This window comes from Homo sapiens, chromosome 9, assembly GCF_000001405.40.
Source record: "Homo sapiens chromosome 9, GRCh38.p14 Primary Assembly".
Classification (NCBI taxonomy): Eukaryota; Metazoa; Chordata; class Mammalia; order Primates; family Hominidae; genus Homo; species Homo sapiens.
The window spans coordinates 80,063,786-80,089,263 of record NC_000009.12 but is presented as its reverse complement, the minus strand read 5'-3'; the positions used below and the strand labels follow the sequence as shown (position 1 = coordinate 80,089,263).

The 25,478-nt window shown below is 38.4% G+C and overlaps 1 annotated feature.

Annotated features, from left to right (window-relative positions):
• Positions 21,487–22,911: an enhancer, noted in NCBI's record as "VISTA enhancer hs1004". NCBI's record gives its function as "enhancer in: hindbrain (rhombencephalon)[7/10] | midbrain (mesencephalon)[8/10] | limb[4/10] | branchial arch[3/10] | nose[5/10]" and the evidence as "EXISTENCE:transgenic organism evidence [ECO:0001131][PMID:17130149]".

Sequence of the window (25,478 nt, the reverse complement as noted above, 5' to 3'; positions counted from 1 at the left end):
CTTTTGCTCCTTGTTCATACACCAGTGACAAACTTTTGCCAAGACACAATGATCCCAGTTATTAATTTATTTCCAGAGGAACATTTTTTTCAGAGTTCTTTTCATGACGGAGAGCAACTAATATTTATAGAATATCTTCTATTTGCCAGATATTAATGATTGCCACTTTTAAAAAAAGACATCTTTCTTAGCATTGGCTGAACTATAATGTTCATTGTCCTTAACCTTTTTAAATCCGTCTCCTTTCAGAAGCACAGGGAAAGATGACTGTCCATTTTTTTATAATCAGGGATATATGCAGCAGCAACATGAAGCAGTGGAAGAAAGACCAGACTTTATGACAGAAGACCAGGAGGTGATTTGAAAACTCTACCCGCTTCCATCTCTGTGGCCTGCACCAAAGTATTTAACATTCTGAGCTTCTATTTACCTCACTGGGTCAAGAAGAAACAAGACGTGTGAAGGAGCTTAGAAAGATATGACATTCTATGCAAACATAAAAAAAAGACAGGACTTGGTCAGGTGCGGTGGCTCACACCTGTAATCCCAGCACTTTGGGAGGCCGAGGCGGGCAGATAGCCTGAGCTCAGGAGTTCGAGACCATCTTGGGCAACATGGTGAAAGCCCATCTCTACTAAAATACAAAAAATTAGCCAGGCTGGTAGAGTGCAACTGTAGTCCCAGCTACACAGGAGGCTGAGGCACGAGAATCACTTGAACCCCGGAGGCAGAGTTTGCAGTGAGCCGAGATCACACCACTGCACTCCAGCTTGGGCTACAGAGTGAGACTCCATCTCAAGAAAAAAAAAAAAAAAAAAAAACAGACAGGGCTTTTACTCCAAACATGAGGTCAGTAGAAGTGACCTTCACAAACACTCATAATGCTCACTGAGATCAAATTGAAGTGTCGCCAAGTTAAAAAGTTACAGCTGGTGATATCCTAGTATATGATTATCATCAATAGTTTAAATAATTTCTGTTCCTGATCCATAAGGTTTTCTTCAGACCCAAGCAGGTTAAAGCCAACTCATAACAACAATTAATACACTAGATCATTCAATTTCTTTTACTTCTCATTTTCTCACTTTACTTGTATATACTGAACAATATCATACAGGAACAAACTTACATTCTTCTCCTTAAGCCTCTTCTGTATTTCTTATAAGATTTCATTCTTTTTTTTTTTTTTTTTTGACACAGTATCACTCTGTCACTGAGGCTGGAGTGCAGTGGCACGATCATAGCTCAATGGAGCCTCGAACTCCTGGGCTCAAGTGAGCTTCCTGCCTCAGCTTCCTGAGTAGCTGGGACTACATGCCTGTGCTACCACGCCTGGCTAATTTTTAAAAAATCTTTTTGTAGAGACGGAGTGTTGCTATATTGCCTGGCTTTGTCTCAAACACCAAGCCTCAAGTGATCTCCCTGCCTCAGCGTCCCGAAATGCTGAGATCGAAGCCACCATCCCTGACCTTCCTATAAAATTTCAAAAGAATGAAATTTATCTAGTACATTCTAGAAAAGTCTTGTGGTCAGACTTAACTGATCTTCCACCAGGTTAAAATAATTTTTGTGAGTATGTCTGATAAGCTATAAGTATGTCCAATAAACCAAAGAGTGAAAAAAATTTTATAAAGAAGCAAATTCATCTGAATTGTCAATAGCTCTTTCTCTGGACTAAATTGATGATGAAGCATTTGCATGAGTACTATCCTCAACCACAAAGTATTTACTAGTTGTCAAACATTTGCTGGTAACTTCTTGGTACTGATCTACAAATCATTTCAAATACATGGAGACTCTTACTTAGCCAGGTAGTAGTGTAAGGAAGAGCAGTCTAAGCAAAGGCAGCAGCACAAGACCTTGAGTGGGATAAATCATGGCTGGAATGTAGGTGAAATGTGGGCAGGGCAGGTGGGAAGTTAGCTCATAAAGGGCTTCACAACCTCAGCCTCTTGGTCAAGGTCCTAGGAAGAAACAGAAATCACTCAAATGGTTTCATAAAGATACTTTAATAAAAGTGATACTTACACATGAGTAGGCAGTATTTAGGGGGCAAACAAGGGTTGGAACCCAGGCACCTAGAGAATCACAACATCAGGGAGCTGTCATCACCTCCTACCCTCGCCCCTAGGAGGAAGGAGAGGGGAATAGGGCTATTAGAGTACAGTGATAGCAGGACCTGTAGAGGGAAGGCTGCCCACCTTGCTGGCAGAGAAGCAACACAGAAACAGAGAGGCAGCAAGACAGAAACACCTCTCAACTCTCTCCTTCCACCCTGCCAGTGTCTCCCGGCCAGTGCCTTTCTTTGAACATAGAGCAGAGCAGAGAAAGGAAGGGGAGGAAGATTGGTGAGCAGAAAATAACTAGTATATTCTATTTTGTATTTTATCCTAAGAAAAATAAGAAGCCTTTGAAAGATTTTAATCACAGGAGTTAAGTGGTGAAATTGAGCAGCTAGGGCTTTTTTGTTACAGATTTTATGAGACCACAGCATTTAAAGACACGTATTTTTCCATATTGGCATTCATTCACTTGGTTTAAAAAAAAATGTGAGATGCTTCTGGTCTGTTTCAAGTTTAAAAATGAATGGAAAATGAATATCAAGACTGAAGACAAATTTGGATACTCCAGTAATAAATATAAATCATGCTATGAAAGTTCGTAGGTGATTCATAGTGCCTAGTTAGAGAATAGCAATGAATTCTGTCGATGATCATGTGTGGAAAATTGGGGGTTTCTTTTACGTTGTCTTTTAGAATGAGTTAGTTTTGCAAATTTTCATCAAAGGATTTGTTAAAGTTCAGATGTTTCCTGTTTTTGACAATGAAAGTTATTCTTTTTTTCCTTTTTTTCTGTGTTGGGTGGTGTTTCTAACATTTGTTGGAAGGAAAAAAGCCACTTAGGTTCTATGGAGATAGGTTGATTTCCTGCTAGAGTTCATTTTTATGCCCATGTTTACCTAAAATTGAGATCTGGGAGCATTTTGAGAGAAATTCTAGACCTTTTAGTAAAAAAAAAAAAAAAAAAAGAGAGAGAGAGAACATGTAAATATATAAGGTGCATATTTGTACAGTGAAAGAGCTATGAAGAATTCGGTTTTCTAAATCAGTGATTCTACTACTTTGCTGCATGTCGTATATAATCTAGGATATTTTTAACACTGTTAATTCCCAAGGCACCCTAAAAACCAACTGAAACAAAATCTGAGTAAAACCCAGTGTATTAGTCCATTTTCAAGCTGCTGTTAAAGACATACCCGAGACTGGGTAATTAATAAAGAAGAGGTTTAATGGACTCACAGTTACATATGCCTGGGGAGGCCTCAAAATCATGGTGGAAGGCAAGGAGGAGCAAAGTCACATCTTAAGATGGATAGTGGCAGGCAAGAACTTGTGTAGGGGAACTCCCCCTTGTAAAACCATCAGATTTCATGAGACTTACTCACTATCATGAGAAAAGCATGAGAAAGACCTGCCCCCATGATTCAGTTACTTCCCACCAGGTGCCTCCCACAACATGTGGGAATTGTGGGAGCTGAACTTCAAGATGAGATTTGGGTGAGGACACAGCCAAACCATATCACCCAGAGATTTTTTTAAATTATTCTAACATGCAGTCATGTTTGGTGATCAAGAAAGATATAATTCAAGCCTTAAACTGTATTTATTTTAAAGTTCCAGACATTTAAAATCCTGGTGATGCACGCACATGTTTATCATAGCACTATTCATAATAGCAAAGACATGGCATCAACCTAGGTGCCCATCAGTGGTGGTATGTATACACCATGGAATACTTGCAGCCGTAAGAAAGAGTGAAATTATGTCCTTTGCAGTAATGTGGCTACAGTTGGTGGCCATTATCTTAATCTTGGTTAAATTTAACACAGAAACAGAAAACCAAATGCTGCATGTTCTCACTTATAAATGGGAGCTAAATATTAGGTATAGATGGACATACAGATTGGAACAATAGACACTGGGGACTCCAAAAGCTGGGAGAAAGGGAGGGAAACAAGAGTTGAAAAACTACCTATTGGGTATTATGTTCACTACCTGGGTGATGGGTCCAATAGAAACCTAAACCTCAGCACCAAGCAACAAACCTGCACATATACCCCCTGATTCTAAAGATAAATAAAAATAAAATAAAATGCTAGTGATGTCAGCCTAACAAGTTTCCAGATCCCTCCACCTACAGTCTACTACTCTTAATATTCAGTTTCAAATTTAAATGCATAGAGGTGGTTGAGTTGACCTCAATGTGTTGCCTCCACATTGTGCAATGCCTCTGTGTGCATCTTTAGTAATAGGCTTTTATAAATAGCATATAATTTAAAAAATGCCTGATTTTAAATGTGTTAAAATTTTATTTTATTATTATATGTTGGGAGAGTTCAAGAAATATAATGATCATTATTATTTACATGCCATAGAAAAATCACTGGTCTGTACTTTAGTTCAGAGGTAATTACAGTCTCTTTCAGTGATGGCTGCAATGAAATGTCAATCACTGTCAATAAACACTATACTGAAATCAACCCAATCCTGCACTTCAACATGGTTTTTACCTTCAGACTTCTTTCTGTCATCAAATACTCACCTGTGTCCTGTGTTTTTGAAAGAGGATTTGTGTGAGATGTGCCCTGACTCATTCTGAAGCATTTATCTGATTTGAGTTCTAGCTCAGTCTTTACTATACTGCTCTCTCTCTGTTTTGGCTAACCAAGGACAAAATATTTAATCATACTCAACTTGGAATAAAAGTCAGTCTCTGGAAATTTCATGCTTACCCTCGTATCCTCATCCTTTTACCCCACAGTAGACATGCACCATCATTATGTGTTCTGCGTAAACTTCTCCTGAGCCTTTCTTCTCTACAATTTGTGCTGCTGCAACATTACGATTTTCATTGAAAAACTATGGTGTGGACTGAGCATAAGCAACCACTTTCACCCCAGTCTAAAATCCTTAGAAATGAAACAAACTGTTTTAAAAGATTTTATAATGTTACTGGAAAATAAAAAACATTGTCTCTGATAAATGCAAAAGTTTGATGAATTTCTGAAGAATAGAAAGCTGATAGGAATGAAATAGGAACCGAAGGCTACATCAAATTGTAATGAAAATATACAAAGTAAAGAAATGGTACTGAAATCAGAGTGGTTTGGGGCAGGGGTCCCCAACCCATGGACTGCGGACTGGTACAGGTCCCCGGCCTGTTAGGCACTGGGCCGCACAGCAACGCTGCATCTGTATTTACAGCTGCTCCCCGTCGCTGGCATTACTGCCTGAGCTCTGCCTCCCGTCAGATCATCAGTGTTATTAGATTCTCACAGGAGCGGGAACATTATTGTGAACTGTGCATGCAAGGGATCTAGGTGGCACTCCTTATGAGAACCTAATGCCTGATGATCTGAGGTGGAACAGTTTCATCCCAAAACTATCTAATCCCCAACCCGCCCCCTCCGCCACCAGCACCCTGGTCTGTGGAAAAATTGCCTTCCACGAAACTGGGGGACCGCTGTTTTAGGGGAATATTCAAAGCCAAAGGATACAGGTAATGATTATGAGTCCTTAGGTAGTTATCAACTGGAGCTATTACTTTCTTTGTACAAATGTTTTGAGAGGACAAAGTAACTAAGTTTCCTCCCAGATGTGTCAGTGAATGGAGCAATAAAGCCAGAGAATTCCGGATATATAAAGATCCAGTGAGAGATGGAGAGGGTACCTTCAAAATTGCAAAGCAGGCTGCAGCATACTATATTCCACAGTATTTCTATCTCTCCAAAGACCAGGTTCTGCAATCACAACATGCAACCACAAACAGGTAATAGTGCTGTGATAAACATGTGCATGCATCAACAGCATTTCAACTGTCTGGAACTTTAAAATAAATATGGTTTAAAGCTTGAATTATATCTAAGAATCAACAAATAGCTGAGGAAAACCAAAACCACAAAAGAAAGAACCCTCATTCAAAAAGTACAAAACTAATGTGAAAAAATATTTAATGGAGCAAGTAGACTAAATTCTAATGAAATTATGTGAATATGTTTATCATATGTATAAAAGCATTTTATGACAAAATATGAAGATTTTGGAAATAAAAATACTATACATTCAAAAGGTGAGTTGAATGACAAAATGAACTAGGCCGAAGAGTAAATTAATGAGCTAGATGATCATGCAAATAATTTCACAGAACAGTGTGAAAGGAAAAAAAAAAATGGAAAGTACAATGAAATAAATAGTTGCAGAGAATAGATCCAGTATACCCAAAATCCATTTAATAGGAGCATCAGGAAAAGGAAACCTAGAGAATAGAGAAAAACACATAATCAATGAAATAGAAAATGTTTACAGAGCAGAAGAAATATATTGAAAAGACCCAAACTTACCAACCTGGAGAATGAGTAAAATGTCATAGCTAAATATACCAAGGTGTGATTCTTCTACAAGCAAAGACTAAAAAGAATACCACTCCTAAAATATTCTAGAAGGAAATCACTTTCGTAGCTTCCCTACAAAACAGAAAGAAGCATTTTCACATCAGGCTTCTCCTTGACAACACTGCATACTGTGAGATAGTAAAACAAAACTGTCAAATGTCTAAGAAAAAACTCCCTCTGAAAGATATATGATTTCTGCATATTTGAAAAGTTACAAGTAACCTCAATTTTCTTCAAGATGTTAATATTAAGTGATGGTGAATCAATATTATGGAATATTACTCTATGGCTTGATAACAGCACAGCAATAAGCATTTGGGGCAGCTTCTCTCAAGATGATTGCCACTTCTAAAAGCAGTGGCTGTAAGGTGGAGAAGGCAAGCACAGCTTCCAATAGACTCATACGTCTGAGCCCAAAATGAAGCTCAGGTCCTGCCTAGGCAGAGGGTCCTTGTAAAAACTCATGCCTTTGGGAGGTTCTGAGGGTAACATTGAACCAGAAACAGACCAGGCCAAACAGGAAACAAAGTCTAGGTTCAAATAATTTTAAACCCTTTGGGATTTAGATGACCTGAGATTCTTAGCGTCCCTAGAATAACTGCCAGTCAGAAATAAAGTGAAACCTCATTAGAGGAAGAAAACATCATCCTGAGCCCCAAATGATTTCTGAGGTTTTTCATATGCAAGCTTCAGCATCCTGATTAAACAAAAATAGGGTATTCTGGAGACATAAATCAATCAACCAATCAATAATAAATAAGCAAATTTAAAGAACAACAACCAGACATACAAAAAGAAGTAACTAAAATCAAAGGAAAAAAAATCAGGAAATAAAACAGACACATAGGGTAGTCAGACAATGGAGTTATAAAACACGCACTTGAAAATAGCTATCATTAATCTGTCAAAAAAAATAGAGGACAAAAATACAAATTAGAAAATTTCATTTAAAAAAATAGATAACCTGAATCATTTCATATATATTTAAGAAATGGCCAGGCACGGTGGCTAACGCCTGTAATCCCAACACTTTGGGAGGCCTAGAAGGGCAGATCACCTGAGGTCGGGAGTTCGAAACCAGCCTGACCAACATGGAGAAACCCTGTCTCTACTAAAAATACAAAAAATTATCCAGGTGTCTTAGTGCATCCTGTACTTCCAGTTACTTGGGAAGCTGAGGTAGGAGAATCACTTGAACCCAGGAGGCGGAGGTTGGGGTGAGCCGAGATTGCGCCATTGCACTCCAGCCTGGGCAACAAGAGCGAAACTCAGTCTCCTCAAAAAAAAAAAAAAAAAAAAAAAGAGAGAGAGAAATAAATTTATGGGTAAAATTCTCCCAAATCTCTCAATATAAAAGACTCTAGGCTCCTTTAATATCTCACAGTTCTCTAGGGCAGAATTTGAGGTACAGTGGGCTAGATTCTCTGCTCAGGATCTGGCTAGTCTAAAATAAGGTATTAGCCAGGGTGCGTTCTCATTGGGAGCTCTGGATCATCTCCAAATTCTCATGGTTGTGGCAAATTCAGTTCCTTGTGGTTGTAGGCCTGAGGTGCCCATTTCCTGGCTGGCTCTTAACCAGTGGTTAATTTCAGCGTCCAGAGACCACTCACGTTGTTTTCCTCTTGGCCCTCTCCATCTTCACAGTCAGCAACAACAACAAAAAGCCCTTGCATATATTCCTTCTTGTTGTTTAAATCTCTTTCACCAAGAAGAGCCCAGTTTCCATTAAGGTCACACTGGATTAGCCCTACCAAGAATCATCTGTCTACCTCCAAGTCAGATAATTTAAACTCTTAATTACATCTGCAATTCCCTTCACAGCCCCAACTAGATTTGTCTTTGATGGACTAACTGGAAGAAGGTCAGTGTACACCAGGGGTAGGAATCTTAGGGGCCATTATAGATCTCTGCCTACCCCACCCATTATCATTCTTTTCTAAGTATTATATGTTTATTTCTTCAACACAATGGTTATTTACTACTTTTTACTTAGCTTACAAATAAAGATTGGTTTCCATTTTGTTTTCCAACTTTACTACATTATGTAAAATAATCTGAATAATATCAATGATTTTAGATTGGTTGTACATTCACTTACGGCTTAACAGTCAAATTTTATAAAATTTCCCAAGATTGTACATTTTCTGTTTACGAATTATGGAGTTAGATGACACATATGCACAAAATATATGTGCAATAATATAGGTTTAAGATAGCTTAAACCTTTGATACAGTTTAAACCTCAAATTGTTCAAGTATTTGATATCTATTTTTGTCTGTTTCTGTAATCTGTTTTTAAGAAGGATGTGTTTGATATAGCTATTTTTCTCTAGAGTACTGTCGGTTATTTTAATTATACTTCTAGGCTTTATTTTTGAGGGCACAGAATTTACTATCAACGTGATTTCTTTTATCAATATACAAAGGGTTTTTTTCGCTCTTAATACATTGTTTACCTTAGTTATATATTATCAGATATTATGATTCCCACACCAATATATTTTTATTCTCTCTTTTAGCCACAAATATTCCTTTTGTCTTGGTTTTAAGCATGTTTCCTGAGACACGTATTGTTGAATTGTATAATTTATGCAATCTGAGATTTTTTACATTTTCCACATCTATTTATTATTCGTTCCTTCAGTTTTATTCTCTTTCCCACCCCAATTCTTAATGCCCATTGGATAGACTGAGTTTCCTTTGGCTTGTGTAAAAATTATGCGTTCTGTTTTTGTTCTCATGTTTGCTCCCTGTAGACTAAGACTCAAACTCATATTTACTTTTCTAATTGATTTATTACATCAATATTCATATCACTTTCATAAGACAGGAAGTTCAACATGCTTATGTACTCCTTTGTCTGCTAACCTCGCCTTCTCAATGAGGTCTCCCTTGGCCAATTTGTATAAAATTGTAGTGTGCACCTCCCTATATTCCCTATTCTCTATCCTTGATTTATTATTCCCCAAAAACATTTATTAATTTTTAATTTGCCAATTTTTTAATTCTGTTTCCCTCTTAAAGGAACACAAGTTTCATGAAGGTGGGTAGTTTTTTTTTTTTTCTTTAACTTTTATCTTAGGTTCAGGGACACATGTACAGGTTTGTTATATAGGTAAACTCACAACACGGGAGTTTGTTGTGCAGATTATTTCATTGGCCAGGTACTAAGCTTCGTACCCAATAGTTATTTTTTTTTTATCTGGTTCCTCCTCTCACCCTCTACCATAAATAGGCCCCAGTGTCTGTTTTTCCCCTCTTTGTGTCCGTGGGTTCTCATCATTCAGGCCCCACTTATAAGTGAGAGCATGCAGTATTTGTGTTTTTGTTCCAGCATCAGTTTGCTAAGAATAAGGGCCTCCAGCTCCATCAATGTTCTGGCAAATGACAAGAACTCATTCTTTTTTATGGCTGAATAGTATTTCATGGTGTAAATGTACCACATTTTCTTTATCCAATCTGCCATTGATGGGCATGTAGGTTGATTCCATGTCTTTGCTATTGTGAATAGTGCCACAGTGAATATATGTTTGCATATGTCTTCATGATAGAATGATTTATATTCCTTTGGGCATATATCCAGTAATGGGATTGCTGGGTCAAGTGGTAGTTCTATTTTTAGCTCTTTGAGGAATCACCACATTGCTTTCCACAATGGTTGAAATAATTTACACACGAAAGTGGGTAGTTTTGCCTGACATGTAGGAGATAATAAATATTTGTAGAATGAAGAAACAAATCAGATCTCTAATCTCAATTTGATCTGAAACTAGCTGTGTGACCTCAGATGAGTCATCTGATCACTCTGGGCCTCAGTATATTCATCTGTAAAAATGAGAAAATAAGTTGAGATTTGTGCTATTTACTTTGTACTGTGCATATATAAATTACCTGGTGGTATTTTTGAAATGCATGTTATAATTCAGTTGGTCTGGTGTGTGCTGCCTGAGCCTCTCCATTTCTAACACCTTCCTAAATGATGCCAATGTTGAGCATCGGTGAACTGCTCTTTGAGTTGCAAGGGATTAATCTTTAAGGTTTCTTTTCTCTTTTTAACTCTACAGAAGAGACTGGCAAACCACAGCTTGTCATCTGTTTTTGTAAACAAAGTTTTATTGTAACACAGCCATGCTCATTCGTTAACATTTTATGTATGTTATGTTGTTTTTACATTACAACAATAAAAATTAATTGCAGTACAGACCATGTATGATTTTAAAGTTGAAAATATTGGCTATTTATCCCTTTACAGAAAAAAATGGTTTGCTTTAGTATCAATTGCCTCTGTATCAATTGCCTCTGGCAAATATTTTGGAATTTTAGTGTATTAACTATGGTTCATTATTCTAGTTTTTAGTTTTTTCTTAGTTGCTTTATTTTGCCTCATTTGCAGCTTAAATATTCTCTAAGACATAAATCATGCCATTTGCTTATTTTATGTCTCCATGAGCACATGGTTGGAGAAATCTAAAACTGAAAAATGACCTTAGAAACTAGTTAGTCTGAATTTGCATTTAAGAGGCAGGGCCTGTGGTGGGGTGGAGTAATTGTTCAATGTCACCTAAGAGCTAAGACAGGCAGAGGGGAACTCAGGTCTCACATGCTTTGTGTTATACAGGCTCCTTGCCTTTATTTCTAGGATTTAAATGAGACATATTTTGATTGTGCTTATGGCAGTGGTCCAGCTATGAGCATTGGCAATCATTTATCCAAGGGCTCAAAGAGGACTGAGGTGAAGGGGCTTGCCTTGGTTTAAGGATCTTCTTTAAAAATAATTCAGCCTAAGAAGGAAAAGTGTTGGGCCAAGGTCAACAAACAAAGTCTATAGGGAAAAGAAGAGGGAGGGAGATCAAGGGTGTACCAGCCAGATCCCCCTTGAAGACCAAGATACTCATTCCCCCAGTTTCACAGAGTTTGCTACAGACCACTCCCATCTGAATCCTTTGGGACTTGCCTTCAGTTGAAAACCACCTCTCTTAAGTTTATGTCTCCTACCTGAGACAATCCACATCTCATAACTGCATGATGAGGGAGTACAAATTCTAGCTCCTTGCTTCAATGGCAAACAACTCTGAGGAGCCAGGCCAGCTCCAGATCTCCCCAATGCAATCGAAAAAGGCCTCTGTTACAACTTCATCACAATTAATCTGCTTCCTCCTCCAACCCCTGCTGCCTCACTCCCCCACAGATTATTCTTCCTCTCCCTCTACCTTATCAGCTTCTTTATGTCCCCTCACACAATCATCAGTCTTTTAAAAAAAATAACTTTTTTTTTTTTTATAGAGACAGGAATTTCACTATGTTGCCCAGACCGGTCTTGAATTCCTGGGCTCAAGTGATCCTCCTACCTTATAGGCATGAGCCATCATACCCTTCCTTCCTTTGTCTCTCTCTTCCTTTTTTCTTTCTTTCTTTCTCTTTCTTTCTTTCTCTTTTTCGTTGTTGTTTTCAATTGTTGGTCTTGAATGTACTCTCAGTACATATCCTGCATACAAATCTCCTTCTGAGTCTGTCTCAGGAGACCCTGAACCAGGGCATTAACAATTACCCAGACCAGCATCTGAAACAGTCACTGAGCATTCTTGACCACAGCTTGGAAGAGGTGGGTGGCAGTGATGAGGAAATAGAAACACAAAGATCAGTTTCATTGAAGTTATCGTGGCATTGAATTTGCTTTAAGAAGGAACCAACTGGATTAACAGTGTTGGTGCTGGGCCTGTGAGCACTAACTTGAGACGCTGTGGCATTATAGGTGCCAGGGTCAGTGCCAACATCACTGTGGCACCAATGTCCTTAGTGTTTGGCATCAGGGACTAGCTCAGGAGTTGGTAGCCTCGCCTGACAGATACCACCACAGTGAGCAGAAGGGGAGGAGGAGAACCTCAGATGTGGGGGCCAAGAGGACTATGTTCAAAAATACAGGAGGCATCCCTTGAGGTTTCGAGAAACAGTTGGCCAGGTGGGGGAAAAAGGAGGGTATAGTTCCTGCAGTTTTGCCAGAGAAATATGATTTTGGTGAGAGCATGACCTTATTTATACTCCTTGGATGGTGTGGCCTGGGGAGACACTGGCTAACACTCATGGTTTCTTTCACTATTAAATTCTATTCCCAGCAATTTCAGAGCAAATAATTTCACATAACACTGTCTGCTTTCTTTGATCCATGTGAGGGGAAGGATGAATCGTCAGCTCCCCTGCCCCATCAGTCCTGCCATTGCCCAAGGCACAATCAATTTTAATATGCAGGGGAAATAGACCACACAGGATCTATGGCCTCCCTACAGGGACCTGACATATTAACTGTTGTAATGCCTCTAATTCAGTCTATTTACTTTGGGATCGGCCTGTCTCTCCTGCTCATCATTTTAACCCATACATTGGCAGTGTCATGACTACTTAGAGTGATGGGGGTGATCCTCGGGGCATAGTCATGAGAAGCCTGATGAGCCCATGTTGCTTCAGGGTAATGATGACTAATTTCATTCACTTCCCTCACCCCTGCCTTGAAATCTTCTCTTGCCTTTTAAATTGACGTCTGTCAGAGGGAATGAGACTCTGCTGGTGTCAGGCTTGATGTATTGGCCCTGTGGAGGCATTCCTTCTTGTCGTGAGTGGAGACAAGTGAGAGGGGTAAAGAATAGCAGAGGAGGGGAGGTGGGGGATGGAGAGAAGGAGGACCCTCTGGGAAGATGAAAAATGAGCAGAGAAAGAAGGAAAACATCTTCAACCAAATGCCACTATTTTGATTCGAACACTTTAACAGCTTTTCCGATGTAGAAGCAGGCTATTGAGATGATTTCACCCCATGTATGTCTTAAAGAAAAAACTATTCAATGATGCTTGTTAAAGTATGGTAAGGCAGACTTTATTTAGATGATTAGCATAGGTGTAGAGACCTCTACAGTGACATTTTGCAGTGGGAGAGAGAGACTGGGCTCTACTTCAAATACAGCATACGCAAATGGGAATTGACATCCAAGGAGCAGCATGGCATCAGTGGATGGAAAATTGCTAAGAGAATCCTCAAGGATAAGGGGGAATCCTGGCTGAAGCTACTTAATGACATTCTTGCTGAAGACAGGCCAGGGTGCTCAGACATCACTTGGGGGATGGTGGATGATGAGAAACCTGATCAGATATCAAGGATAATCAGAGATCAAGGATGATCAGCTATTGGCAGGGAGTGTATTTGCTAAACTAACCTAGCAGGGTTCTTTGCTAAGATTTCATGTTATGAGGAAGTGAACTAATGGGCCTAGGAGAAAGTTTAGGAGGCTGAATGAAGTTTGGTCTGGCACAGAACCTCCGTTATATGTCACAACCTTAAATAGCCCAGGTTGGTGTATTTTTCAGAAAATATCTCTATGAGAAACAAGTAAATAGGTGCTATGTCATGGCAGGTGATTCCATTAGCCAGCCCTTCCCTTTTAAACTGCTCAGAACCTACAATAGCATGCTGACCCTTGATGCATTTTTAATTAGCTATAATGAAAAATGATCTTTCAAAGCATCAATTTTGAGCTGATAGTGACGTAGCTGATTATCTTTAGATGAGTAAATGGGCATGTTTGAGGTCAGGCTTGAAAACAGAAAAAGAAAACATAAAAATGCTTTTAAGTTGTGACTCAATTTTTCAGTATTTCTTTTACTGGAGAGAATTTTTTTATTTTGATTTTGCTTTTGTTTAAACTACAAACACTTGTAGGTTTCAGGAGATGAGCAGATTCAAGCTCTAGCTTGGCAGAGTCTCCTGATAACATGGTAGAATACCATTAATTAATGTCAAAAGGTAACAACGGTTATGTTCTTTAAAGTGAATGGTCAGATATTAAAATTTTCTTACCACATAGATAAATCTCTGTGATTCAAAAATACGTTCCATTAATTTTGATATAATGAACCTACAAAAGACAGCCATGGCTGGGAGAGCTGGTTGATATTTGGGCAAAGTTCTACTCACCTCCCAACTTGGAATAGGTTCTGGCTCAAAACTGATTCCCCGGCAAGACCAGAAATCGCCTGAGTGAGTCTGGCCCTGCTCCCAGGAATTTTGGTTGGGCAGATTCTCAGGAGGCCAAGGTGTTCCTGAGGATAACTCGGGCAGCTCCCTGCTGGCCAGGATGCATTCTGAAATCGTGATCTGGAATCATGCCCTGTCAGTCCTGGAGAAAACCCAAAGCCATAGATTGGCTTTAGAACGAGTCCAACAGCAGGGATGGCTGAGGTCAAGGGCAGGCCCTGCAAGGCCTTTTTATACTCAGAGGAAGTTCCTGCTTTCCTTCAGCCCAGAGCTTGGCCAGGGGCAGGAAAGTTTAGATAAGCTGAGATCTGTCACTGCCAGATCTGCTTAAGCTGAGGGCTTCAGTTCATGTCCCATGGCTTGTGCCTCCAGCATGCCCAAGACAATGGATAACAACAATATTCATTACCATGTACTGAACTGCTTCTCTGCCAGGCACTGGGCTGGTTTAATTACAAAACATCACTGAAGGTAAACGTGATGGTACCTTTGTTGTTGGTCTTCCCTTCTGGACTGTGAGCTCTTTGAGGAGGGGCTTAAAAAAAAAAGATCTTCTCTGCTCTAAGCAAATTGTCTGGCAATAATAATGGCTTAATAAAAATTTAATAAGCTCCAGAAGGTTACATAACTTACCCAGGTTTACACAACTAGCCAATAATAAAGTTAAGAATCAAATCTAGACCAGAAATGGTGGCTCATGCTTATAATCTCAGCACTATGGGAGGCTAAGGCAGGAGGATTGCTTGAAGTGAGAAGTTGGAGACCAGCCCTGGCAACATAGCCAGATTCTGTCTCTAAAAATAAATAAATAAATAAATTAGCTGGGCATAGTGGAACACACCTGTAGTTCCAGCTACTCAGGAGGCTGAGGTGGGAAGATTGCTTGAGCTCAGGAGTTGAAGTCTACAGTCAACTATGATTGTGCCACTACACTCCAGCCTGCACAACAGAGTAAGACTCCATCTCTTACATAAAAAAAAAAAAAAAAGAATCCAATGTAGGCCCATATGAATGCAAAGTGTAAAGCAGTCCCCTGTGTTACACTCTTATCCTGCCTCTGCCCTTTACAGGGTCTGGGTTTAGGTGTACTATCCTTAAAGTAGTAAATACCCAGAGAAAAGTGGGAAAGAGTCAGCTCACAAAGGTAGCAGCAATTCTGACAATATCACTATCTTCACTATGCCCTGAATGGAGCCAAAGAATGGTAATTTATCAAAAAGTTGTAATGCTTCTTCTTTGTACAAACACAGGCCATCAGAGTGGAAGGGAGAAGTCTGCCAGCAAAATCACTCAATTTGGATTTTTTGTTCTCTCGGGCACAGATACTCAGGTGGGTAATTTACTAATTCACTTATTTCATACTACTTTAATGAGATGATTAGAAATGGAATTGAATCATGACTATGAGTCCATGGTAATAAGGAAAATAGTATACTTTCACTCTTCAAAATTTAGAAAGCACTTCCATACATACATTTTTCCTGTATCAAAATTGTACTAGAAACTAGACAGGAAGAATGTTACTATACTTATTGCATGGGTAAAAAAAACTGAAGTCCAGAGAGACTACATGCTTTGTCTGAGGTTACATGATTAATTAAAAGATACAGTATCAAAACTCAAATTCTGACTCCAGATTACCGTTCTTGTTCACTTCACCAGTGGTCCTCAACCCCAGTTGGATATTAGAATGACTCAGAGATACTTATTCCATTGCTCTGGGATTAGGCCCAGGCAACACCATTTTAAAAACAAAGCCAGATATATGTGTAGCCAGGGCTGGGCAGCAAGTGCGCTACGTGATTCTGTCTGTTAATGAATGGCACACTTGGCCAGGCACGCACTGAGATTAACTGTTTTGTTATCCTAACAGAACCATCTCAATTATGACCTAATAGTTGCAGAATTATTGATATAAGATATTAGTTTCACAAGGACTATTGATTTTTAAAAACATCTTACAGGTACCTTGCCATTCTCTTGCATTTGCAAAACTGAAAATTTAATTATTGAGTTTATGACTATTCTCTCCATTACTAACCACACACAGAAAAATTTCCCGAGGCTAGAAACCATGTCTAATTAACCTAAGGGTTATTTATACTAAAGAAAAGAAGAGTGAAAAGCAATTTAATGAGTCCAATTATTTCCTTCAAGCCCAGGGAGGGCATTGGCAACATGCCTCCCTTGGGTACAGAGCAGATGGGCCTCCTCCCCATGCTTCTTGTAGTTGTTCCCCCAACAAACTGAGGCTTGGCTCAAGAGGGACTGATTGAATAGCTACCAATAGTTTGTTGTTGTTGTTATTTTATGCGACTTCCAAAAAGTAAAAACGATATGCAGAATTAGAATCATTGAATGCAGAGAAGAGCCAAGATCCGTGAAGATTATACTGTATTAATAGTTGATCACAGTGTTAGTTAATTGTATTTGTCAAGATAACTAACCTCTGCTGCAGAAGCAACAAGACAAAATCCTCAATGGTTTACTACTTCTCAGGCACACTATATGACCCATGTTAGCTGGTGAAGAGCAGAGGGAAAGGCTCAGCTCCAGTCTCCCTGACACACAGAGGCCCTACCTTCTTGTGGCTGGCTATCCGTAACAAGTAGCTTTCTCAGTCGCCATGTTAGGGGAAGAGAAAGAGACAAAATTGTTCATGGGCTTTTCACTACTTCACTGTGCAACTGATGCACATGTATTCACATTTTCCTGACCAAGACTAGTTCCATGACCCTTTTCTTATTGCGAACACACTGGGAAATATGGGGCAATTAATATAGAACTTGGTGAGCAATACTCTCTTTGCCGCAAATGCCATATATATGACTCTTCCCAATATTTGACTTAGATTGACTCCCTAGGATACCACATAGCAGAGCTTTTCTGCCTTTTCTCATTAAGAGGAGCAAGTTCTTCCCTTTGTTTATGCCGTAGATGGGAGCCATAGAGGAGCTATTGAGAAGATATTGTTTATTTTCACAGAGAATAGGATAAGTAATGAAATACTTGTGGGAAAGGTGACTATATAGTGGTCCTGGTGCTTTTCACATCTATTTGTTCATTCATTTATTCCTTTATTAATCATAGATTATTTCCTATGATTCAAAAAATAGAATAGACTTGCATTGTATGCCTTATGCACAGTCATGCCTAAATTTGGTAGCTTCTTGAGTGCCCTTCTAATTCCACTAAAGGATTGGAATTAGAAGAGTCTTTAATTGAGCCAGGTTTTGCACAGTTGAAGAAAATCCATAACAAAGAATAAACTAGACAATTTTAAAAAGAGCATTACATTAGTTTCTCCAGAATGCTAAAGGCTGAATTCTCAGGAAGCTATCTGCTTAATGAGGTGCCCTTAGGAGAAAATAAGAGCTCCTTTTCATCGCATCTCCATTTGGCAATACTTGTTCCCAGCATCCAAATTTCTCTTCATAGAAGTCATCAGGCCAACAGAAAGCAAGCAAGCCAATTTCATAGCTTAAGGATGGTTTTTGAAATATTCTACCATTATAATGCAAAAGTTTTAGGACAGTTCCTCTTCAAAAACTCTTTATGGTTGCTTTTCCATTATGAAAATTAGGCCTAAGATATGTGTTAAGAGCAGAGGATTCCATACAAAAGAAAAATTAGAGTTGAAAAGAATGCAAATGATATTGATCAATTTTTAGAGTATTGAAGCAATATTAAAACTTTGCCTCTTTACCAATTCACATTCAAAAGTAGACAAAATCTGTATCCATTATAAATAAGCAATATTTTTTTACCTTCTGTTTCAATGTGCTAATGAATGTTATTGTTGCATGCAGTGCCTTATAGGAACCAAGTCTTGTATTACTATAATTTGTTAAAATATACAGTGAAACAATCTCACAAAGGAAAACATTTGTTTGATGAAATATTTTAAATAAATTGATCCATATCAACACTGACAATACACAAAATCTATGTAGGATATTCCATCAAGACATTTTCTTTTTAATTGAAAACATGAATATTACACTTAAAAATTCTCAAAACCATCCAGTTCTTATTGATAAATATTTAGAAGACTGGTTTTCATCCCTCGATGTACATTAAAATCACAGGGAGCTTTTAAAACATGGTGATAATGGAGCCCCAGCTAAACTACTTGAGTCAGAATCTCTGAGAGTGAGACCCAAACACTGATAGTTTTTCAGTGCTCCCGCATGATTCTAATCTGCAATCAGGGCTGGCAACCACTGAAATGGAACACTTCCTTGTCTCTCCAGCTAGCAACAATATTCAGTTCTGCAAAATCCCCATTTTTACACTGTCTACCCTTTATAAAAAGTAGATGTGTAGATACTACCTCTCCTCTATTAAAGAGTAAGTTCGTGGAGGGCAGAGCCTCTGTCTCACATTTTTATATGCTCAGTTTCTAGCAAGGCACATGGCAGGGATCATGTTGAATAAGTATTAACTCATTGAGTGGCACACTGATCATCTGAGTAAATCTAATTAGAGGGTTTTAATTTTAGAAACTCTAAGAAGCCCCTTTCAACAGAGCAGCAAAGGAAGGATGTATGAGGAAGTGAAAAGTGAAACATCAAGATTAATAATTTGGCAATTCTTGTTTGGATGACACCTAAAATCTAATTACAGGGGATTTTCCTGGCATGTTCTTGGAGGCAAAGAAATAAATGATATGGTGGATTTCTTCTAAGACATTCTGTGTGTTGAGTTCTGCTATAAGTTTGCAGTTGTCTTCAAAGCAATAGTATCAGGAGTAGAAAGGCAGTATTTAGGAGGTAGAGAAAAACCTACTTTTTTGTCCTTCGGGAACTATAATAAAAAGGTGATTAATATATAATTGTATTTGCTAAGGAAACTAAAAATAATGAATTAATTAATTAAAATGAACCAAAATAAAAAGAAGCTGCTTATTTTTTCAGTTGTCCTTCCATTTATACATCCAAGAATCTCTTCTTTCTTGTTACCAACTTTGATATTGTCAAGGCAGCTTACTTGCAACACAGCTCAACACTGATGTGTTAGTCAGTTCTGGCTGCTATAACAAAACACTTCAGACTGGGGTGGTTTAAAAACAACACAAAAGTTATTTTTCAAGTTCTGGAAACTGGGAAGTCCAAGGTCAGGGTGCCAGCATGGTTAGGTTCTGTTGAGGGCCCTTTTCCGGTTTGCAGATGGCCAACTTCTTGCTGTGTCCTCACAGGAAGAAGAGAGGACCAGGGAGCTCTGTGGGATGTCTTTTATAAGGGCACTGGTCTCATTTATGAGAGCTCCAACCTTATGACCTAATTAGCTCCCAAAGTCCCCCCTTCCTAATACCATCAATTGTGCATTAGGATTTCAACATATGAATTTTGATGGGACACAAACATTCAGTTCATTGCAACTGGTAACTCTAATCAAACAAATAGCATATTACCTGATGGATCAACTACTCAACCAAGACAGCTGTATGTGTCTGCAGAAAGTGCAATAACTCTTTCTTTCCCAGTTATGACTGGAGAATTACCAATCCTTACTGACAGCAATGGGAGGCAGCCAAATGCATAGGCAGATAGGAGCGGGTCCCTGGCAAAACCCCACCTCCAAGCCAAGACAGTTTAAAGCCTGAAAGCCAAGCTACATGTTAAATCCTCCAACCAGTTTGAGAACGCACCTTCTCGTTTGGTGTACTTTGCTCTGATTGATCTCCATCCTTTACCTATTTTACATACGCTTACCCTTTCCTAATTGGTTTTCTACACTGTCACGCTTACCTTTGAGTGGCATCTTCACTTTGACCTTTTTTGCATACTCACAAACCAATTAGCACACACTCCCTATTCTGAGCCCATAAAAAGCCCCAGGCTCAGCCATATTGAGAACTCTCCTGCCTTGCCTTCAGGAGAGGGACAACCCCATACCCCTCCCTGCTAACATCTGTTTTATCACTCAATAAAACTTCCCATCTTGCTCACTCTTTGAGCATCCTTGTGTCCACTTCTTCCTGGTCATGAAACAAGAACCCAAACCTACCAGAGCTAAGGAACAACAAGTCCTGCATCATCGCTACTTTATAAAAAAGAAAAATTGTATTTTTGCAGTGTAGTTGTTCATATACTAAGAAATCCAAGTACCAGACTCAAGATTTTTGCCATACATTTACAACTTCTATACTATTCATAACTCACTTAATATTTTTAAGACAAATCACTCACTGTCTTTACCTCAATGAATTTGAAAGAGAAACTTCAAATCATTGTCATAAATAGAAGGTATCTATAATAGGACATATATAAATATTAAAGCAAAAGGTGTTTCTCTCACATCCCACCAATAGTATGAGAACCACCACACAACAGAAAACACCATAAGTAAAATCATATTATTTGATTGCCAGTTGCACTAGGTCTACATGATGTTGCCAGAATTCATGCCATTGGAAAAATGCATGAATTTAGAAATACCTCTAAACTTTAATTAATAAAGAGTAAACTTAGATGGGTAAAGAAAGAGTGTAACCTCCGGCTATTTCCAGGCTCTTTAGGAGGTGAATAAACTTTGATAAATTATATGAAAAGGAGGACCATGCCACTGTCAAGAAGCCTCCTTGGAGGCATTTTACCAATGACCAAGCTGAATTTACAACATCCAGGCAAAGAGCTCTTAGGATATGGACCACAACGCTTTAGAATTTATTATAGTGTATAATTGTTTATTTTGTGCCCATTTTTTCTTTGTTTATTGGTTTACTAACTGTGTCTAGACCACCACTCTAAGTTCTATGGGAGTGAGGACCACAATCACTGGTGGGGGCCACATTCACTGTTGGAATCCCACTGATTAGCATATATTGATTGTCAAATTAACAACGGTTACATAAATGACTAAATATTCTCTTTCATTCTGTAGAAACCTCCCCTTCCAAAGTGACAGTACCCTTGATGGGTGTTCTACCCCAACTGTATTTCAGCTATATCTAAAATACACAGCTTTAAACTCTACTCAGTAACAACATTTCTATATACCTCTTACAGCATCCGCAAACCCACACTTTCTCCTACTCTCAAAATCCCCCATGGCCATTTTCTTCCCCACCCATGAAATCCTCACCTGCTAGCCTCACCACTCTATGGCAGCTTACCTTTCTACTTAGGCAAGCTTGTATCAGTATCTGGGGTCCTAGATCTTAGACTCTCAGGAGGCCATGCCATGGGAGGGGTGATGACTGTAAGATAAATTTTGTCATCTTACTTTATAATCCACAGCAGTGCAAAGGACAGGATTGGCTCAACTTTCTGACATCAAGGAATAAAAATGATAGAAGACCTGGCAAGTATCCTAAGTGATTTAGCAAGGAGCTTCCACTGCTGAAACAGTATCTTAAATGTTTCTTCGCCCACCCCGTTTCCATTCATCCTGTTCTGTCATCACTAGCATCACCCTAACAAATAATCTAGGGAAACTAGGGCAAGGAAAAAGCTGAGAGAGAGAGGCTGGTGGGTAGGGGGATGTGGTTAGGAACACCCTGCTATCCAATACCCATAAAAAATTTGTTTTTAATTCCCCGGCTATCACAGATAGAGGCTGCTGCTAGCATTTAAGATAAGATTAGTTGGTGTTGTGCTATCAGCACCTCCACATTTTCCCTGCAGGGATTCCTTCTGGCAGGCTGAAGCTGGAGGCATGTCTCAGGATTAACACGAGCTAATGATTATACACTAAAGCTTTGGAACTGTCGGACTAATAGGATTAAGCAATAGCAGATGCAGGTCCCCGTTCAGGTTAAAAATGCACTTTTTACATTACAAAGTCAGACAGATCCCTTTGAACATGCAATGAATATGGATGTTTTCAATTATCACAGTCTTCCAGGGCTATACGATATGGTAAATTAATCCCCTTAGAACATCGGAAACAGGACAAAATAGCCTTCTTGAAGCTGAAATCCCTCGTTTTAGATTTTCTTTCATGGGGATAAGCAGCGGTGCACCTCACATAATTAATCTTATTACAAACAGAGAAAGGGGAAATTTTAAAAAGTGTGTAAAAATTGTTTAAATATTTGGGAAACTTAGAAAAAACACTTTGAAATCAACATCTCTTAATTAATTTTCAAACGGTCAAAAATACAAACATAAGGCATGACAAGCAAATGTCTGGATGTGTTTTGGGATGGGTTTGTATTTCTCGATGCCTCAGGCTGTCAGCGCAACAAGGAGAGAAAAAAAATTAAGGTAACTTTAAAAATGAGCAGAATAATAACTACCAGTAGAAAGCACTATTTCTCAGAGATTTGAGTTGATCTGATCTCATGCTCTGGGCCCTGGAAAGGAGAATGAAAAGGGCATATTGGGATACTTATATTTTGCTGCTGCATGAAAGGGTCTCTGCCACCCAGTAGATAAAACCATCCCTCAGAATAGCTCAAAAGTAAATCTCCATTACTGCAATTAGATGGGGTTGGACTTGGACATTAGTAGGGGATGAACCTAAGAAGTTTCATGTGTTTGATTGACTTAGGGTGGGGTGGGGGAGGGGGGAAACAAGTATTTGACAGGAGGATTTTCCAGAGAAAGTTGTTTGAGATGACAGCAGGGAATGGAAGTAGTTTTGTAACAATCAGAATAAAACAGGTTTAACACCACTGGTTTGACTCTGAAAATTCTAAAGCCAAATATCTTTACATTTGGGCTGAGTGATTGGTATTTACCCTCATTAACAGATCCTAGAATCACACTGCCTAATATTGCTCCTCGCTTCACAATAGAGACAAATAAAACACATGGGAATTTCTCCAACAAAGAATCTCATTTTTTTAAAAAAATGCAAAATGAAAGAAAGAAAGCAAAAGAGTAGGTTACACCAGGTTTCTTTATTGAGTCTACACTTTGGTTTTTATTATGTCTTACATGGTTTTTGTCTAGAAAACTGCAGGAATACTTACAACCTAGGATTTGAATAAAATCTGAATGGAACTAACATTTACAACAATAGAAGAAAACCATGATCTAACTGTGGACTATTCACTCAGGTTTTAGCCTTACCAGTCAATCAAAAACACCCAGATGTCAAAGTGAAATTTAACTCCTGAAGTTTCCCTAATAATCCAGTACATTTGTATACCCTGTGAGCAGGATTTTCTATGCATATCACAAGTCTAAAGTACCTGCTCTGGAAATACTGCTTGGGTAGACTGAAATATACTACCTAAATTAAAGATGCTAGCAAGCATCCAAAAATGTTCCTATTTTTTAAACTTTTGATTGAAAATGTCACTTCTTGACAGAATGAAATGAAAACAATGGTTATTTTAAGTGGACTACTTGGTATTCCTTTTTTCCCCCCTTCTGGCAGTTGCACAATAAATTTCAGAAGATATAAAATGATTTTCAGATAAATACTGCTATCCTAGTAAAAGATATCCAGAAAGCTGTTGTGTTAAATATGTATGTCCTTCTCCTTTGTTGGAAGACAATGACAATTGATTATTTGTTCAAATGGGCTTAATCTTCCGTAATTATCATGCATATTTCAATGACATACATTAAGACAAGTGTGACTCAGTTTTATTGTACGTGGGAATCACCTGGGACTTTTGTTAAAATGAAGCTACTGAGGCAAACGTCTGGAGAGGTGCTCTAGAGTCTGCGTTTCCAACAAACTCCCAGGGAATACAAACACTGCTGGTCCAGGAGAACACACTCAGCATCAGCATGTCATTAAGACACCAAAGTCACTTCATGAATGATATGTTATAGAGTGTAGACTTGAGGAAATTAAGCAAGCCAACTCCATGCATTGCTTTTCTAACAAAGTATTACAGTTATCAACTTAGGAGTGAATTTAATGATAATCAAAACACCCTATTTCTTGGCCTTTTTCCTACATAGCAATTCCTTACCCATTCTACTAGGTTTATTTGTAATGGGTTTAGTTTTTCATCCTCTAAAACTATCTTATGATAAGTTTATCATATGAGTAGCTTCTAAGCCATCATCTTAATGAAATTATTACAAGTTCATTACAATTTTTGTTATTCCTTAAACATTCTGAAAACTGGCAATATTAATTATATAATTTTGCAGTGAAATTTATTAGAATAGTATTACATTTAGAGGCATTTTATATATTGTGTTAGTTTATCTGCAATAATCACATTAAAATTTCCCATTAACTGTGAGATTATTTTCAATGGAAAACAAACTATAATTTTGGTATCAATGCTGAGTCATGTTTCCTCTGAAATTTTTAAAGAAAATCTTATTTTTTTCCCAAATTCAGTACATTTCACAATGCTTATTGAGTACTGCGTGGCTCTGTATATATCCCTGGCACTGGGAAGGAAGAGAATAGAGAGTGCAGCACTGATACAATGACAATTACAGACATCATTTTTGCCACCCAAAAGTTCATGTAGTAGTAAAAGAAGCACACATTTGTGAGTCAATGATACTTTACAATAGCAAAGCCAAAACCAAAGTTTTATTAGAACACAGGCAAGTCAATGAACAATTGTTGATTAGCGCTGGGGAAAGGTATTGCAAAGAAAATAAAGTATGAGAAAAGTTTTGAAGGATGAATAGAAGTCTTTATGTTCTAATTTGGTTTCTGGTGGGTGGGAGGGAAGAGAAAAAGATGAATAGAAGTCCAGAGAAAAGAAAATTGAAAACATCCTGTTTACACAGATAATAAAAGACAGAAATATCTTAAACATCATTGCATCACAAGATGAGGGTGACATCAAAAGACACAGGACTCTACATTCAGCACAGCATAGAATCCCAGCTGCAGCACAGGTATTGAATAAAGAAGGAACAAAATAAATGAGGAAATTATCTGCTTCCCTAGGGAAAGCAGTATGACTAAAATGAGGTCTCTATATCCTCATTCCTTTGGCTTCTCTATGAGTCTCTGTTTAAAGCACTCATTTTGTACGATGTTTAGCTAACAATTTTTTTTTTTTTTTTTGAGACAGAGTCTCGCTCTGTCGCCCAGGCTGGAGTGCAGTGGCACGATCTCGGCTCACTGCAA